The sequence below is a fragment of the Homo sapiens genome, chromosome 6 (genome assembly GCF_000001405.40).
Source record: "Homo sapiens chromosome 6, GRCh38.p14 Primary Assembly".
NCBI lineage: Eukaryota > Metazoa > Chordata > Mammalia > Primates > Hominidae > Homo > Homo sapiens.
The window spans coordinates 66,669,148-66,689,424 of NC_000006.12; the positions used below are offsets into that span (position 1 = coordinate 66,669,148).

The 20,277-nt window shown below is 34.2% G+C and overlaps 1 annotated feature.

Moving 5' to 3' along the window:
* Window positions 18,421-19,092: an enhancer, noted in NCBI's record as "NANOG hESC enhancer chr6:67397461-67398132 (GRCh37/hg19 assembly coordinates)". NCBI's record gives its function as "activates a minimal SCP1, AML or CMV promoter by ChIP-STARR-seq in naive H9 embryonic stem cells {active_cell/tissue: H9 hESC(naive)}" and the evidence as "EXISTENCE:reporter gene assay evidence [ECO:0000049][PMID:30033119]".

Genomic DNA, 20,277 nt, shown 5'->3' on the forward strand with positions numbered 1-20,277 from the left:
CTATTTATATTGCTGAGCCACGGATTCTCAGATAGTCATTCATATGATGGGATTTTCTTTCTCTCTCTCTCTCTCTCTCTTTTTTTTTTTTTTTTTTTTTTTTTTTTTTTTAACAAAGACTTGCTCTGTTGCCCAGGCTGGAGTGTAGTGGCACAATCTCTGCTCACTGTAAACTCTGCCTCCTGGGATTAAGCGATTCTCCTGCCTCAGCCTCCTCAGCAGCTGGGATTATGGGAGTGCACCACCACACCAGGCTAATCTTTTTATTTTCGTAGAGATGGGGTTTCATTATGTTGGCCAGACTGATCTCAAACTCCTGAACCCAAGCAATCCACCTGTCTTGGCCTGTCAAAGTGCTGGGATTATAGGTGTGAGCCACCACACCTAGCCTATACAATGGGATTTGATTTTGCTGACTTTTTGCTTTCCAAAACTTTATTGTCTGTGACTTAATACCTAAAACCTTTAATAGATTGAGTAGAACTTCCTTGATCTTCTCCTTCTTGTTTCCTGGGCATATTTTTTTTACTTTCTACCCCTTGCATTCAATATTTCAGCCATACCAAACCACCAATTGCATGTTCCCTAGCTTGTAATTCTTTCTCTGTAACAGCACCTTATCCCATTCTTCCTTTCACTATTTGGGATAACTTCTGCCAGCAAATTATAAGATGCTTCATCCTAGAAGCTTCATCACTTGCAACCACTACTTACCTTCTACAAATGTTCTGAATTTGTTAGGAACCTGTTTATTTACCTGTTTTGCCCTTTCACCTATGATATCTTTGAAGACAAAAATTATAGACTTACCCAATTTTACGAACAAGTATTTGGCAAAATAAATATTTGCTAATGAATGAATATATTTGTCATGCCATTTATAAAAATACATATTGAAACTGGGTGCTCCTGTGTTGGGTGCACATATATTTAGGATAGTTAGCTCTTCTTGTTGAATTGATCCCTTTACCATTATGTAATGGCCTTCTTTGTCTCTTTTGATCTTTGTTGGCTTAAAGTCTGTTTTATCAGAGACTAGGATTGCAACCCCTGCCTTTTTTTGTTCTCCATTTGCTTGGTAGATCTTCCTCCATCCTTTTATTTTGAGCCTATGTGTGTCTCTGCATGTGAGATGGGTTTCCTGAATACAGCACACTGATGGGTCTTGACTCTTTATCCAATTGCCAGTCTGTGTCTTTTAATTGGAGCATTTCATCCATTTATATTTGAAGTTAATATTGTTATGTGTGAATTTGATCCTGTCATTTTGATGTTAGCTGGTTATTTTGCTCATTAGTTGATGCAGTTTCTTCCTAGCCTTGATGGTCTTTACAATTTGGCATGATTTTGCAGTGGCTGGTACCTGTTGTTCCTTTCCATGTTTAGTGCTTCCTTCAGGAGCTCTTTTAGGGCAGGCCTGGTGGTGACAAAATCTCTCAGCATTTGCTTGTCTGTAAAGGATTTTATTTCTCCTTCACTTATGAAGCTTAGTTTGGCTGGATATGAAATTCTGGGTTGAAAATTCTCTTCTTTAAGAATGTTGAATATTGGCCCCCACTCTCTTCTGGCTTGTAGAGTTTCTGCTGAGAGATCCACTGTTAGTCTGATGGGCTTCCCTTTGTGGGTAACCCGACCTTTCTCTCTGGCTGCCCTTAATATTTTTTCCTTCATTTCAACTTTGGTGAATCTGACAATTATGTGTCTTGGAGTTGCTCTTCTCGAGGAGTGTCTTTGTGGCGTTCTCTGTATTTCCTGAATCTGAATGTTGGCCTGCCTTGCTATACTGGGGAAGTTCTCCTGGATAATATACTGCAGAGTGTTTTCCAACTTGGTTCCATTCTCCCCGTCATTTTCAGGTACACCAATCAGACGTAGATTTGGTCTTTTCACATAGTCCCATATTTCTTGGAGGCTTTGTTCATTTCTTTTTATTCTTTTTTCTCTAAACTTCCCTTCTCACTTCATTTCATTCATTTCATCTTCCATTACTGATACCCTTTCTTCCAGTTGATCGCATCGGCTCCTGAGGCTTCTGCATTCTTCACGTAGTTCTCGAGCCTTGGCTTTCGGCTCCATCAGCTCCTTTAAGCACTTCTCTGTATTGGTTATTCTAGTTATACATTCGTCTAAATTTTTTTCAAAGTTTTCAACTTCTTTGCCTTTGGTTTGAATTTCCTCCTGTAGCTCGGAGTAGTTTGATCGTCTGAAGGCTTCTTCTCTCAACTCGTCAAAGTCATTCTCCGTCCAACTTTGTTTCGTTGCTGGTGAGGAACTGCGTTCCTTTGGAGGAGGAGAGGCGCTCTGCTTTTTAGAGTTTCCAGTTTTTCTGTTCTGTTTTTTCCCCATCTTTGTGGTTTTATCTACTTTTGGTCTTTGATGATGGTGATGTACAGATGGGTTTTTCATGTGGATGTCCTTTCTGTTTGTTAGTTTTCCTTCTAACAGACAGGACCCTCAGCTGCAGGTCTGTTGGAGTTTCCTAGAGGTCCACTCCAGACCCTGTTTGCCTGGGTAACAGCAGCGGTGGCTGCAGAACCGCGGATTTTCATGAACCACGAATGCTGCTATCTGATTGTTCCTCTGGAAGTTTTGTCTCAGAGGAGTACCCGGCCATGTGAGGTGTCAGTCTGCCCCTACTGGGGGGTGCCTCCCAGTTAGGCTGCTCGGGGGTCAGGGGTCAGGGACCCACCTGAGGAGGCAGTCTGCCCGTTCTCAGGTCTCCAGCTGCGTGCTGGGAGAACCACTGCTCTCTTCAAAGCTGTCAGACAGGGACATTTAAGTCTGCAGAGGTCATTGAATAGAATAATATTTTATTCCCACTTCTGGACTCAGGTAAAACCTGAGTCATATAGAGGGATCTGAATTGAGACCACAGGCAAATGACTTTTAGTGAAAAAGAAAGGAGAAATTAACAAGATAATAGGAGGTTTAAGAAAGGCAAGATCATAAGGTCTTCTATGTTAGCAAACAGTAAATGTTCCAAGAATATCAAGCATTCATATACACAGTGTAGACCTCAAACCCATATTTGCTACTTTGTATTTCCATTTCTTCTAATTTCCCCAATTTTTTATTGGTCATATTATTGAAATTTTGATTTTGAAAATGTATTCTTGGGAGAAAATGCAAATGTCTTATTCTCATTTAAATATACCATAGGCTAAACCTCATTCCCCTTATGTCATCATTTAAAACACCTAAATTATTTTACAGAAGTTGAGGGTTGTTAAATATATTAAATCTATAGACAGCTTCATGTTTTTAAATTTGTCTTCAGTTTAGAGAACAAGGTTGGAAGTGTTTCTTAAAATAATCAGAAGTTCCATCCAAAAGCCAACATCTTATGAAAGAGAATAATGGATTATCGTGGACATACATCTCAGGAATGTCTTTCCACTGCACACCAACTCTAACAAAATAAAGGTGCACACCACCTCTAACAGAATGAAAATCTGACCAAACCTGCAGTAATACAAGTTTTTACCTACAAAATAGTCACTTGAGCTACTCTGTTTTGGGCGCTGTAGAGCCGTGCCAAGGGAGAAATTGAGTGATAATTTTCTGTAAGGGAAATATCAAAGCAAAGTTAAGTTTGTTAAGGCAGAAATACAAATCACGTGAAAGAAGTAAATGATAAAAGTCTGTGGAAGTTTAGAAAGAAAAATCTTGACTCTCAATCTTCCAGTTCCTGTTGCATCTTCTGATGACTGTTTCTTGCCATTTGATTTTGCGTATGTTTTAATATATTCCTCTTTTTGCCTTAACTAATCAAATAATCATTCCTGTTGATTGCAACCAAATGGCCCCTGATTAAAGCCAACCTTGGCATTTTGTTTCGATTAACAACTTCTGAAATTCTGATATCATTTCTTAATTTCTACCTTACTGTCCTTTACTTTTCTTGAATCTTTATAATTAATATACATTTTAGCACCTCTTAGCATCAAGACACTGTTCTGAGCACTTTAAAAATATGAATTAATCTAATTCTTTTGGCAGCATTATGAAACAGATACAATTTTCAACCAAGGTTAACACAGGAAGAAATGTGGCACTGGCTAAGTAGATTGCGGAAGATCACACAGTGATACATGGCAGAGTAAAGATTGAACCCCAGGCATCTGGCTACAGAGATATAACCGATATCCTAGACATTTTCTATTTCTACTTGGAAGGACTTTTGAGGATATAAATATTGATTATTTAGACTAGATTGTTCTTTAAAACTCTGCAAAGCATTACATAGCATGTGTTCAAACTTAGTTCAGCATCTAAGAGCAGAGCAAGTTTGGTAAACTGTAATAATGTTGACTGTAGCTGGATATAAGTATATTTAGAAATACCATTTTAAAATAAATATTAATTAATATATGAAGAAGAACAAACTATATTCTCTCTTTTGCATGAGATAAGCAGGTTTCCCTGGCAAGAAGCATCTCTCTTTCTATCAAACTGTAGTGTTCTTTTCCAATTTGGTTTATTTACCCAAACACAAGAGCTTTCTTGGACTTCTTTAAAGAGTTGAACCATAGTTCCTGCCAGAATCTAGACCAGCCTATTTCTGAGCAACTAGCTACTTGCCTATATTTTGGAGCAGCCAGAATTAAATATAAAGAACTAAGCACTGTCTTCTTCAAGGGCTGTTAAGCAAAGGTGGCCAAAGGCTGAGGAAATTATACATCTGAGCTCCCAATTACATGAGATGGAATTTATATAGGCTGACATTTTACTGAGTAACAAACTAATTTCTTACACCACGGAAGTGTGGTAATAAATTAATATGTCACTATTTGACTTGCCTTTCAAAATGAGAAACAAATACCTGGCCATAGGTTGAGTGTGGAAGCAAAGATCTTCATCACACACCAGCAAGTTTCCATCTGTAGCTTTCAAAGGAATTAAATAAATTAAATAAAATATTTGATAACACGTTAGAAAAATTCAGAATATATGAAATAATTTCAATTTCTAAGTGTCTATTCTATCTTAATGAAAGATACCTGAGCATTAACTCCTCACCATGTGTCCTGGGCCAAATCCTTTCATGCAGGTATAGCACCACACCTATTGCCTTGCTGCCTGTGGTGTAATCATCAACCTATCATCATTCTACCATTACTATAGTAGCCTATTACAGTTGCAAATGACCACAAACCTAGTGGCTTAATGCCACATATTTTTTTTTTTCTTTTTGCATTACTGGATTTCCAGAGAACACAAACGCAAAGGCTGCCAGTTTCCAAACTCAGACTGAGTAGTCTCAGACTATTAATCTGGCTGCCTTATATTGGTAAATGAAGAAAACAGACAGACTAAATTCAATAAGGACCACAAAAGAACATGAATACCAGAAGCATCATTGATTGTGGGCCAGGTGTTTAGTGACCATTAAGAAATAGGGTGACCAACTTTTGCAGTTTGACTAGGATTAAGGAGACTTCCAAGACATGAGACTTTCAATGGTACAACTGGAAAACTCCAAAAAAAAAAAAAGTGAAATGAGTTGCCCACCCCAAAATAAAGCAACCATTGGAAAGTTTGGCAGATGGAAGTTATCTACTAATTGCTTTGAAGCATTATTAAGACAAAAGGTATTTGCATTTTATAGGAATTAACTCATTTATTCCTTCTCCAGATCTATTATCTAAGAAAATTTCAGTAATCTTTAGACATAAGGATACAGAGCCTCAACAATTTTATTTTTCTTGCCTACAGTCTGCTGGTCATGGGTGGAAGAATTCAGATTTAAACTTAATATATTTTCCATCATAACACACTGTCTAGAAGTTGATTACAGTGAATTTGGTCACATTTCTGCTTGCCTCTTATTCCATTAAAGCTTGATATTTAGCTTTTTGAGCTACGTTGTACATATGATATAGATGGGACATGTTGCTATATTGTGAAATCCTGAAGAGGCGAGACCAAACCTTTTTTTAATCCTTGTGGTGGCCATCATAGAGCTTGGGACATTATATTGATTCAATACATGATTAAGAGATATAACTACTAATTTTTGAAATTAAAATAATAGTATCTTTGTGTTCTTTAAGTCTCAACAATTATTTCTGAATGTGTAAAAATTTCATAGTCTTTTCTTTTATTTTCCAAGGATACTGTATTGCTTTTCTGAGGCTACTGTGATACTTTTCCATGAACCTGATGGCTCAAAACAATAGAAATTTATTATCTCACAATTTTGGAGCCTAGACTTCGGAAATCTGTCATGGTTAGACTCTCTCTGGGGTAATATAAAGAATAATTTGTGTGTTTTTTGCCTCTTCTAGCTTTTGGTGGTTGTTGGCATTTTGTGACTCTCCACATCACTCCACTTTCTACCCTTGTGATCACATTGCTTCCCATTCTGTTTCTCTACCAAATCACTCTCTGCTTTACTCTTACAAGGGCACTTGGATTTAGGGCCTACCTATATCATCCAAGATAACCCAATCTCTCAAAATCCTTAATTTAATCGCATCTTTTGCCATATAAGGCAATACTCACAGATCCTTGAAATTAAGATATGAAAATATCTTTTAGGGGACTATCATCAAGCTCATGAGAGTAGCGTATATGTTCATGTGCCCAAATATTCAGAACTAAAAATCAAAGTCTAAAGTACTTTAAGGATAAGTAAGAAAGCTGTATGGTGAAAACAAGACAATTTTAACTCAGATTATTATAATAGCTTTGTGTTTTTATGTTTATATAGTCAAATAAATTTATATGTACTTTGTTTCCTTAAACTAATAAAAATATAAATAAAGAATTGAATAAATTAATTTCTGGTTTCCACGCAAGAACACTGGAATTCACAAGTCCAGGATAAAAGCTAATGAGCTCAGCTAGAGATCTTGTAATTCTTCCAGAAAATGAGTTTCACAGTCATGTACTGAGGTCAGCTGAGGAGTAGTCAAAGAAAAAGCACTTTCCCGCAAATGAGAACAATGCAATGGTTCTTCTTCCTTCTGAAGGGCATATCTGTGCGTGCGTACATGCGTGTGTGTGTGTGTGTGATTTACTGTCCTATAAATTGACATAATCCTAAGAAAGAGCATTTACATTGAGAGATAGTCATCTAAAACCAGAATATTATTACTGCACAGTTATGTAAAACCATCCTTGGACTCATGCCATAAATAACTCAATAAAAAGTCTGTGTTTAGAGAATATAGCACATATTTTATAAAACAACAGTTTGATACTTATAAACTGTTTTCTACAAATATTTAAATTAATTAACACAAAATGCTTTCTTATCTGTTATCATTTCCTACTATGTGGGAATACCTACATACGTTTAATTAAAGAATGTGGCCCAACAATATATTTCTTACTTATTAGTATTCCAAAGAATAGTTTGATTAAAATTTATTTTACTTTGTATCGCTAAGAAATATCATATTTCTATGTAAATATTTCCAAACATATCAAAGGCAAGGTATGATGAGAAGATTCAACTTTCATTATTTTTCCATCCTGTTCTGAACCTTCTTGTCATTTTATTTATTTTGGTTTCTTTCTCTTTGATACAGTATATTCTCTTAAATTACATTTTAACATTGATATCCAAAAGTGTCTATTGTCCTTCTTTCTGCAAAAGCTTACACAGCAGATGGTGCAAATGGTTCAGCATATATTTGTGGAACTGATAGAAAAAGTCATCCGCCAGAATGCTAACTTTTTTGGCATTTTGTCAAATTATAACAAAGACATGTTACAAAAATTCAGAGTATATGAAATAATTGCAATGTTTATCTTTATTTTCTGTATATTCTATAGTAAAATATGATGCAATTATCCTGTCTTCAGAAATTTCTCAATTTCTTTCTTCTGTCTATTTCTAATGCATCATGCTTGACCATGTGTTTTTTCCCTTTGTTTTCATCTATAACAGTGTCAATTTTTTAGCTTCTTCCAACCTACGATAGATTAAAATTATATATATATAAATATATATATAAATATATATATGTTTTTAAATCTAGGCTTATTTTTAATGTAAGAAAAAAGAAGACATAATGACTTTAATTTTTAAAACATTTTCTCAATGCTAATTTCTTAATTGGTAAAGTTTTTATTAAAAAAATAGACCAATGGAGGAAACTACAATGCATATGGCTTATTCTTTCAGCTATTTGTAAATAAAATAAGCAGCTAAATACAATTACCAAAAGAAAAGTAAGAACTATAACTTTAAGAAAATATTTTATTTTTTCTCTATTATTTGTTACATATTCTATAAATATTTTATTGATATTTTGTTCTTGAAAATCAATATGGGAAAAACAATTGGCATGTAAACCTTAGCCACACTAGCCTTTCAACCCTGACTTTCCAGTGGGAAAGATTTTTCAAAGATAGAAATTGATGGAAGGGAAGGCAATTTCATCTTGGTTGACCAAGAAAGATTTAATTTTGTATTATAAATTTCCTATTGTTTTTAGACCACCTTAATGACATTTTTATGATTGCTTTATATATTTCAGGTACATAGTCTTTTTTATTACCATTTAAAAAATAGAAAGCTTATTTTTAATATAATGTAGCGCTAATATACACATATATTAACAAATACAACAATAGGAGATGTGTCTGAAAAGGTAATCTGACAGCTAGATTTAGGAGAAAGGAGAATAGATAGAGTTAAATAATTGTCTGGCTGGGCAATAATGAAAGCATTAACTAGTGTAGCAGCTGTGTAAATGTGTTATTAGAAGCAAAATATCTGGGTAAAATAGAAGTGGTGAAAGCTGAGAGGTGAAGGAAATGGGAAATAGGAAAGAACAAATAGAAAAAGCATAAAAACAAAACAAAACTAGAAACAACATTGATTCCAATGTATTGAACTGAGGAGAACAGAATAATAATGATGTCAAGGAATATCATTTATGAGAGTGGATTCTCAAAATAAAATACCTAGCTTACATGAACATTGAATGTAATCCTCTTTTCTACTTATCCTGTCCTTTCATTTTCCACCTATGCTAGCTCTCCGTAAACACATCGGCCTTAGGGAAAACCTTATGAAATAATCTTATAATTTTGAATGTTTTTTGTTACATACACAGTGGTAGACCTATATGCAATTATCATTCTATGTTGTATAAATAAATACATACCAAAAAGAACTACTATACATTCTTTCACTGTAAATATTTAACGTCATAATGGATTCTTAAAATATAATCCAATGTGCTTCTTAGAAACATCTCACTGTCAGATTATGTGTTTTGAGATAATATAAATTAATTATCATATCATCCTGAATAATAGTTGATTGGCAAGGTAAATATTCTTTGAACTCCAATAGTAAATTTAAGTAATGAAACTACAGCTTCTTTTTACTGACATATTGGAGGTTAAGTATATCTTTCTCAGCGCTTTGGAGATGCCATCATTTCTGAAACTACCTTTTTTTTTTCCTATTTGTTTCTTTATTTTTAATATCACCTTTGAAACTACAAAATATTTTTACTTACCCAGTTAGATGGCAAGTTCAATGTTCACATATTTATGATTGCAAGCATTAGAATATCATATTGAAGATGTGAGGTGGGAAGAATGGGACAATTGTCTAAAATTGTTTCATTTCATTGACATGCAAATCTACCCTGAAGCAAGATCCCATGCTATGAAATATTACAATGCCCAAGCAGTAAATGAGTGGACATTTTAGAAGTTGTCACAGCCCTAGAATGTATATCATATTCTATCATTCTACTTAGTTTCTCTGCTCCTAACAAACTCACCACCTTCCCAACATATCTCTCTACAGGCTTTTCACATGATACATGGCCAATGGCATTCTCTTACACTCCTCAGTGTTAGATCCTCATTAGAGACTTTCATTTTATAGTTCAGTATTCCACTTTGTTCAATGATAAAAGTATTTTATCCTCCGAATTAAACTAATTTTATGCCAGTTGATTGGAGGTCTCCAACTCCCATCTGCAAAGGCTCACAGGTCAGGTTTTATGCTTCCAGTTTTTTAGTGACTAATGCATCATTTTGCAATGTGCTTTTACTTTTTCTATTTTTTAATTTAATTTAATTTTATCATTTTACTCAACTTTATGAGGTATAAGTGACAAATAGGAAGGCTTGTAAGTATATTTAAGGTGTAAATGTGGTGTTTTGATGTAAGTATACTTTATGTAATGACTCTCACAATCAAGATAATTAACATATATATCACCTCACATAGTTACCCATTTGTGTGTGTGTGTGTGTGTGTGTGTGTGTGTGGTGAGAAACAGCACACTTCCAGTGTACATTATTAACTATAGTTACCATGCTGCACATTGGATATCTAGAACTTGTTCATCTTAGATGTGAAAGATAGTATAATCTGAACCAACATCTCCCCATTTTTCCCACAGCCCAAGCCCGAGAAGACCGTATTTTACTTAAAATTTCTCTAAGTTATGCCAAATCTCTAAGTTAGAATGTTTTAGATTCCACATATAAGTGATATCATGCAATATTTGTCTTTCTATAACTAGTTTATTTCGCTTAGCATAATGTTTTCCAGATTTATCCAACTTGTCACAAATGGCAGGATGTTCTTCTTTTTAAAGACTGAATAATATTCAGACACACATATTTCCTTATCCATCAACAGATGCTTTGACTGACTCCGTATCTTGGCTATTGTGAATAACGCTGCAGTGGATATCAAGTTCAAAACATTGATTTTATTTCCCGCAGATATATGCTCAGAAGTAGATCTTGGGTCATACGGTAGTGCTATTTTTAATTTTTTGAGGATCCTTCGTATTATTTTCCAAAATGGCAAGAATAATTTACATTTTCACTCATAGCCTACAAGGGTTCCCTTTTCTCCACATCCTTGCAAACACTTGTTATCTTTTTTCTTTTTGCTAATAGCTTTCCTAACATATATAATATAATATAATATAATAAAAATATACATATTTTGATAAATATATATATATATATATATATATATATATTTTTTTTTTTTTTTGAGATAGAGTCTCACTCTGTTGCCCAGGCTGGAGTGCAGTGGTGTGATCTCTGCTCACTGCAACCTCCACCTCCCGGATTTAAGTGATTCTCCTGCCTCAGCCTCCCGAGTAGATGGGACTACAGGTGCCCGCCACCACGCCTGGCTAATTTTTAGTAGAGATGGGGTTTCACTGTGTTAGCCAGGATGGTCTCAAACTCCTGACCTTGTGATCCACCCGCCTCGGCCTCCCTAAGTGCTGGGATTACAAGCATGAGCCACTGTGCCCGGCTTGAGTTTCTTATATATTTTGGAAATAAACCACTTATCAGATATAAATTGTGGCATTGCACCTATGTGAATGCAGGGACATTTGCTTCTTCACAAAAAGGCTTCATTTATTCACTGAGGCATGCTCCCTGCAGGTTTGTATCCATTGAGAAGGACTGCCCTTTTCATATTTGCTTAAATTCTATAGGCTGATATTGTGTGTGTGCATATTTGTATATGCACATATGTAAGTGTACATATCCATGTGCACATAAACATATTTTCATTTACTGGCAGAGGGAGGAGAAAAGAGCGATTATTCTTGTTCTGTTTTATTCTGACTAATGAGCATAGAAAATACTTGAATCTCCTTTATAATTCAAAACGGTGTGGCCAAAATTTCCACAAGTGAAGATCACTTTACTAGCTAATTTCTATGGCTGTCTTGTGAGCATTCTCCTGATTCCCATTAAGATCATGCTCCAAGTTTCTGAGGTACTATGTATTACCTTATACACATATAAATATAAATATATTGTATGTATATGCACTACATTTGTATATATGTAAACATATGCACTATACATATTAAATAAAAAATATAGAAATATATTTAGTTAATTGTATTAATCTAATATATACCTATAACATTATTACCAATTAAAGCTTAAGATGTAAGAACGGTAGAAATGTAGGATTTTATCTTTATCATACATATTTTTAAATTTGCCATATCACTTTAGACTAAAACTGACCTGTTTTCTGTGCCCAGTTGCAAAGCAAGTAATACTTGCAGAACTCTAGAAGTGACTATGAAAATAAAATAGCATGTGAATATATTTTTAAAAATACAGATTGTATATTACATATCACTACTCTGAACTGGACTTCTAGTCTTACTACTAAACCATACTCATGTACTTTGACCAAATTGAGCATTAACTCCCCAATGTTTAATCATAGTACATATCAGTTTACTCACCCTAAGTACTTCTTTTTTAAATTTCTTTTTCTGATTTGTTCTATCCTACTGAATTCCATGTTGAGAAAAAGTCACAAAGGTGATGTCTTAACCAATCTTTTAAATTACATGAAAATGAAAGAGCATATTTTATGCTATTCTCCTTGCATATATACATGCCTCTAGTCTTGAAATAATTTGCTTGGAGTCTGTGCTAAGCATAGAATAAAGAAAAAAACCCTCTAGAGAATGACTAAAATTAGGATAGTTACTAGCTATATAAGGATTTGCAAGTTTTCACTGAAAATCTCTTTATATTACTTCATCAAATAAAATCATGGATCTGTGTGTTTGCTTGGTTATATTTTGTGCTTTAGAAACAGTCATATGTAAAAATTGTAAAGTGCAGACATTTATAAGTACATTTTTAAGTTGCTGCTAGTGTGACTCCACCTTGACTTGAAGTTTAAATCTACAACCTACAAAAGAAAAGAAAAGTAGATCCAGATAATACAGTCATTATAAATAAATCTGACTTGGGTGTCAGATTTTGCAATGAAAAAATGACTGCTTAAGAGGAATTTTTATTCTTTCAGCATTATATCAATTATCATATTTACTTTATGGAAATACAGTAACATATATAAATGTATGGAATAAATGTTAGATTAACTATATTTGTAATTTATAGTTTCTGTGCAATTTTAGTGCTAGCTTAAAAATGAACTCCTGCCCATCAGTTTTTAATTGCTGATAAATTTCTATATTGCTATTCAGATCAAATTTATTTTATATTCAATGCAGACTCCCCATTTATTTTTTATTAAAACTATTATTTGAAACTTATACTATGAAATTATTTCTTTTCATATTGTTCTTTCACATCATTGTTTTGCTTGTCTATCCATACTAGAAGCCTGAATAAAATAGAAACAATTATGTTCTAGCTGTATGTTTCAGTGCTATATTGTAATGATTATGAGTCTTCACAAAATGTTCTAAGCCCTGATGAGCAATTTGTTGCCTGTCAGCCACAACTATCTTTCACTTTTCTTTTGATAACAAAGATTATTTATTTTAGTTAACAGAACCTTAGCTAAACAACGGGAGCAATGATAATGCATCATTGTTAATGTATTTCTTGTAAACAAAATTCTTCATTTAAATAAATGAGTTTGCTTTCTTGTTATTTCACTAGGAATCGTAGCTTTATTATTTACAAATTGTAAATGTATAGAGTGCTGAGAACAATTTCTGATATGGGAAGATGTGATGAAAAGTGTTTTTCTAGAATTACTAACGTGCTTCCTTTTTCTTTTCAGTTTCCCAAATGTCTTAAGATATTTTGTAAAATATACGTTTTAAAAATGTCATCTTTGGAAGGAATAAATTTAAAATTACTCTAATGGTACCAAGGGAGGGAGAATATAGAGAATTTAATCAAGTAATTATCAAAAACTTTTAATTGAATTATTTCACCTATAACTTTGGGACAACTACTAAGTAATTCAAAATTGACCCATTAAGTTATGTCTATATTATAGTAAGTTAAAGAGATCCACAAAGTAAAAAGACTCATATACAGGTTTATTTCTCAGTCAGGCAATAGAGGTAGATGTTTTCTTCCATGTAAGGATTCAAGGACCTAGCCTATTTTTTCCACCTTATAGCTTCACCATTTTTTGGTCACCTTGTCTTCCATATCTAGTCAGCTGATGGGAAATGTGGCCTTACCTAAGGTAATATATTTTTTTAAAAGCCTTTGTTCAAAACTGTCATGCTTTATTTGCACACATGGTCACAGGTAAAGTCACATGCAAGAATTAAAAACGGCATAAAATGGTGTGCCCAAGTAGAAGGCTAATTTGATAAACAGCTCTGGCTCTCTTATAACTACTCTTATAGGTTCAGAAATAAGCAACTGAAAGTAGAAGAGAAATTAAAAACTGAATTAATAAATGCATTAGAATATAGTTCCCTAAATAACTGAAATGTTAACATATGAATATTTGAATTTTTACTTTAGATGTAAAAGTAAATATAAAATGAAACCATATATGTTAGAATAAATCAGAGTAATACAATTATTTTCAAAAATAATTTTCAAACATAAAAATATTTTAACACTTGTTTCTTATTTATGGTGTGTGTAGAAATAAGCCATTCTCAGTGTTTCTACCATGATGTTGTGAAGCATCCAAGAACTAGTTTTCTTCTGAAATTTTGTATATCAACCTAGCTTTGTATTTGAATATTATCAAATTTTATCACCAAGAGTAATTTAAATTGTCACTGCCCTTTGGTAATTTTTAATACATTAGACTAATGCATTTTATTTTTTCTTCTAAATTTCCTCTGTGTACAGTGTGGTTTTTGTTGTTGCTACTAAAAGTAGTGGCAGCATTGCAAAATTTGCTCAAAAACTTGAATACTGTGAAGAAATAAGAAAGTGTACAGGCTCACGCCTGTAATCCCAGCACTTTGGGAGGCCGAGATGGGCAGATCATGAGGTCAGGAGATCAAGACCATCCTGGTGAAACCCCTTCTCTACTAAAAATACAAAAAAAATAGCCGGGTGTGGTGGCAGGCACCTGTAGTCCCAGCTACTTGGGAGGCTGAGGCAGGAGAATGGCGTGAACCCAGGAGGTGGAGCTTGCAGTCAGCAGAGATCGTGCCACTGCACTCCAGCCTGGGCGACAGAGCAAGACTTCATCTCAAAAAAAAAAAAAAAATACATGAACATAAACAATATGTACAACATGAGTAAACCATTCCATGCATAGCCAAATACCAACTATTTTTTGTTCTCCTTTATGTATCAACTACAAAGCATATTATTCCATCGTGTATTACAGGAAAATATATTTGTATATATTCTTGTTTATGGAAAAAAATAAAATCAGAGATTTTAATAACTATCTCCTTTGAAATTGTATTATTGTGTTAAAGCCCGATTTGTGAATCATTCATTGCTCAAACTCCTTTAAATTTAATTCAGCTGAAGTTTTTCTTTTCACGGATGGTGTCAGAAGTGGGATCTGAAGTAGAGCTTCTAACTATCCCTAGGAGCACTAAGTAAACAAGCAAGGTTCCCGCCGGACCCACTTGTGTCTTATAATCTCTCAGAGCAGCTGAGGATCATGGTAAGTTCTCTCTTAGATTTCAGAGCTCCATGGATTTCTGTTTTGAGCTCTCCAAGTTTCTTTGAGCAAATGTCTATTCCAAACTGGGTTTTGAAGTCCTGACAGAAACTAGAATGGGTCCAGCATGAGATATGATCTGGTAATTAACCAGCTTGGATCCAGTTAGAGGCCACTTACATCTGACTGGGTTAGAAAGAAACTGGTAGGAAATGGTAATATTGCAGGGATTGTCAAATTTTGCTTTTGGAAATTCACGGGGACTTTTGTGTTCTACTCCTTTGTTTCATTTTTCTTGTGCACTTAGGTAGGAAAAATGATTAGATAAATTTTTTTAACCTGAAAGCAAAGCTGAATGATTTTATCATATATACGTCACACAGAAGATTCTACTGTAAAGGCTATGGTTACACAACACACCTTAAATTCTTTTGTGTAAGTTATGCTAAATAGTAGAATTATCTAAACAGAGAATTATCTGTGCAGCTGCTGGCAGTTTTGGCCTATGGAAAAATATATCCGGTATTATAAAGGGTCAGTTGTAGTGGATTAACAAAAAGACCACCTAGTTAAGTGAGTAGGTTCCTTAACTAGCTCATTCTTTCATCAATTTGATTTTAAGTGGTTTGGTTTATCGGGACCCAGGGTAAGGAGCATACTCTAAACTCTTGGTATTATCCTCCTAATAGTCATAAGTGTGGTCTCCCTGGCTCACTGTATTCTCTCAGAGGTTTTAAATGTTTTCATGCATTCATCTCCAAAATGCTAAATGGTCTCTATTCAACAGGAATTGCAAAAGCTGAAAGAAATGTGTAACCATGAGAACACTATAACCTATTAGTGATATGCTGAGACTAGAAATCCAAATTGATGGTAACTGAGAGTGGCACTAAGGCACTGAGTTTTGATCAAACTGTCATCTGACAACCTGACCAAAAAGGGGAAATTTTTGTGAGCAAAATTATGGGAGGACATTGTTTTGAACTGAGCTCTTGCACTAGGCCTCAACAGACCAAACCAAACCACAATGGAGTCACTCGTGTTAAATATGCCTAAAACGGACCAGGTTTTGTTTTTCTCCTGCCAACAGAATGTTTCAGCATAAGGAGGTACCCTCTACTCATTCTTTGTTCCCTCCTTGCAAAACCCATTGTTCTACTGTTTCCCAGTGGGTTTCAAGATCAAATAAGTACATTTACAATGGCAAAAGTGATATCGATGACTAAAGTTTTGGTCAATCTCTCAAAATTGAGAAAATTACCAAAAGAGGGGAATTGTTAAAGCAAACTAAATATGGCCTGAGAAAGGCTCTGTACTTCTACATTTGAGTCCTTGTGGATAAACTGTAATCTAACTTTATAGGCAGACAAGATTGAAAACCTAATTTAAGAATATCTGCCTGTAACAATAGCTGAGTCTTGGCCAATCCCACGGTCATACTTCAACCACTCATAGACTACTAAGTGTTCAAACTGTGTTCAAATAAGGCAAATGCCAACCTGTAACCAATCCACCTGTAACCAATCCAGCTGTTTCTCTGCCTCACTGCCAATTTCTGTATATCACTTCCGTTTTTTTGTCTATAAATTTGTTCTGCACCAGGAGATATCACAGGAGTCTCTCTGAATCTGCTGTGATTCTGAGAATTGACTGATTAGACAATCATTCATTGTTCAATTAAACTCGTTTAAATTTAATTTGGTTGAAGTTTTTCTTTTAACAATTGAAAAAAGTGAAAATTTCTTAAATGAATTATTACATAGGTAATATTTTAATTTATTCCCTCAAATAATGATTACAAAAGATAAACTATATTTTTTGAAATATTTAAACAAAAATAAAAACACATATCAAAACACAGGAAGGAAGGAAGAAAGGAAGGAGGGAAGGAAGGAAGGAAGGAGGGAAGGAATGAAGGAAGGAAGGAAGGAAGGAGGGAAGGAAGGAAGAAAACAAACAGAAAAAAAAAGGAACCGTGTTAAAAAAGACATAAAAGTCTTACTCAGTGTATCAAAAAGTTGTGATGTGCCACCAGCTATGTTTCTAAAATCATCAAATGGTAAAGCGTAATTAAAGTTTGTTTTGGTGTCTCTATTTTTAATGGGCCAGACTCAAAATGGCCTTTGCTCTTGTATAACACCAAAATCATAACCACGATTTATTTAGTACACTTAATGAGAGCTCATCCATTCTACACCACTCAAGTGTTTTAGGATAGGTAATTATTTAAAATCTGCCCCCCAAAACTTTTAATTATAATGTTAGGCATATGCAGACATAATTAATTATAATAATAAACATCCTTTAAAAATGAAATCACTAAATAGAGATTCTCTTTTTACCTCTTTTGTTTCATTCTTGGATCAGATATTAGTAATTGATGAATGAGAAAAAAATCTGTTAAGATGTCTTAAGACTCCTCAATCTGAAGTTTCCCTACCAAAAATACGTTCTTTTCTATGCATATCTGAGAAACTTCTACCCTTTCCTCAGAGTCCAAGGGCACACTTTTTTTCTGATGCATTTCTCTACTCTCCTAAAGTGAGTCACTCTATATTCCCTTGGAGATCTCTTCGAATGTTTATTATAACATCAATGGGTATATTATAGGGCCCCCTTCCTATGTCTGTATTCATTACCAAATTGTGGGTACCTTGAAGTCTGGAAATTGGTCTTCTAATTTTATTATTAGACACTTAGTTCCCATTATGATTCATGTAATGGAGATTTTTTAGATGTACTTTCAATAAAGAAATTACTTGACTAATTATATTAATTAACCAAATATGATAGCATGAGCCTCAAAGAGTTAGGAAAAAAATACCTTTGAAGTTCGTTAAAAAAGAACCATATTTCTAGAGTTTATCTCTGAAATTCTGTTTCTGTAAATTTAAAGTGAGGTACACTTTGCTCCAATTTTGATTCATCTACTTATCTGTCATTTAAATGATATATATTTATGTTTTTAAAATATAAGTAAAGATATATAGAAAGTTAGCAGTATGAGAACACCCACTCTCCTCAAATCACACATCTCATCATTCAGAAAGAATTATTAATAATATTAGGTAAATAGCAATATAAACATTTCTACTGTGAGGGCAAATATAAATTAAAAATACGAGTTTTGATTCTTCCTGTTGAAAATAAGGGAAGAGACTCCTCCTTTCCCTTTTCCTAGAGCATTTACTGTAAAAAATGTGTCATTATAAATTATTTTTCTGTCTCTTCCAAGTGTACCTATGTAAATCTTTTTTAAAAGCTAAATAACGCTCTTGACAGCTTAAAGACCCAGCAATGTCTTTCTATGACCTGAGAACTGTCTCTTTGATATGCAATCACAAGGAAGATAACACCCTTATCTCTCAGTTTCTATGGGAGGATAGACGCCTCACTTAAGCAGTAGCTTAGCTACAAGGTACAAAACTGTCTCTTGTCATAAAGATATGAGAAGTGTATTTTTCCTTTGGATAAGGCCAATTAGGTAAAACAGTTGGTCACCTTAATTCACAAGTGAGTTTAGAATAAATTTTGTTTGACAAATGGTGTTTTCAAGTGTTCTGTTGGGGGCTAGCTATTGTTTATCTTGAGAACACTTTGCAAGGGTTGTATCTACTTAGCTACTTAATAAGGCGGGATTTCTTTCAGTCTTTGTCATCTCTTAGTAGACTGCCTGTGATGTACTTCACAATCTGGTTTAATGCTTATTCAATAATACATTTTTTTTCTCCTCTATATTTGTGGAGAGGTTTTCAGGGTTGAGGGGAGATTTTGCTTTTAATTATATATTACCAACACTACACAAAACTAAACATTATTTCTTGTGCAAAAGCTTCTATCTTTGACTATTTTTATCTGTTGCACGTGTTGATTGGTTGAATTTCATTATTGAGCAGAACCACCATTCCTCCTGACCCCCCTTCACTCAGCCAAAAGGATCAATAACTACTTTACTCTTAAACCCTTAAATTGAAATTTTCCTTGGTATTTTCTATATAATTTATTCACTCCTAAGCTTGTTTGTTTGTTTTTCCCAGACTTGTAAAGATGGTACTCGATCTTTCTTATTTTTTTTTAATTTTTCTTAATTTTGAAGACATTTCTTCTCAGCCAAATATGAGTGACCAATGGCCTGTGATACAGTTCCAGGACATCTTGAGAACAAGTGCCAAGGCTACAGCTTGTTTTTTTTTTTATGTTTTAAAGAGACATAATACATCAATCAATACATGTAAGATGTATATGGGTTTTGTCCAGAAAGGTGAGACGACTTGAAGTGGGGGCTTCCAGGTCATCAGTGGATTCAAATATTTTCTTATTAGCAATTGGCTGAACAACTTATTTTAAGCTAGACTTGCCTAAAGACTTGGAACCAATAGAAGAGAATGTCTGGGTTTAGACAAGGGGTTGTGGAGACTCAATGTTATTATTATTATTATCATTTGAGACAGGATTTCACTTTGTCACTCAGGCTGCTAGAGTGCAGTTATCACTGCTCACTGCAGCCTGTACCTCTTGGGCTCAAGCAATCCTCTCATCTCAGCCTTCAGCATACCAGGAACCACAGTTGTGTGTCACCATGCCCAACTAACTTTTTTTTTCTATGTTTTGTACAGATGGAGTCTCATTATGTTGCCCCAGCTGGTCTTGAGCTCCTGGGCTCAAGAAATCCTTCTTCCTCTGCCTCCCAAAGACAGGATACCAGAGAGAAAGATACTTTTTAAATAGAGTAAGTAGCATGTAAAATAAAAATTAAAGCGTATTAATAACAAATGGATAATAAATCGGGAGCCACTCTTTTTAAATCACAATTTATTAAAAAAACACTATTATTCATGATCCATTCATTCAACACATGTTAATTGAGTTTCTGCCACACAACAGGCTCTATGCTAGCTGATAAGAATACACTAGTGAGCAAAACAAAACCTCATCTT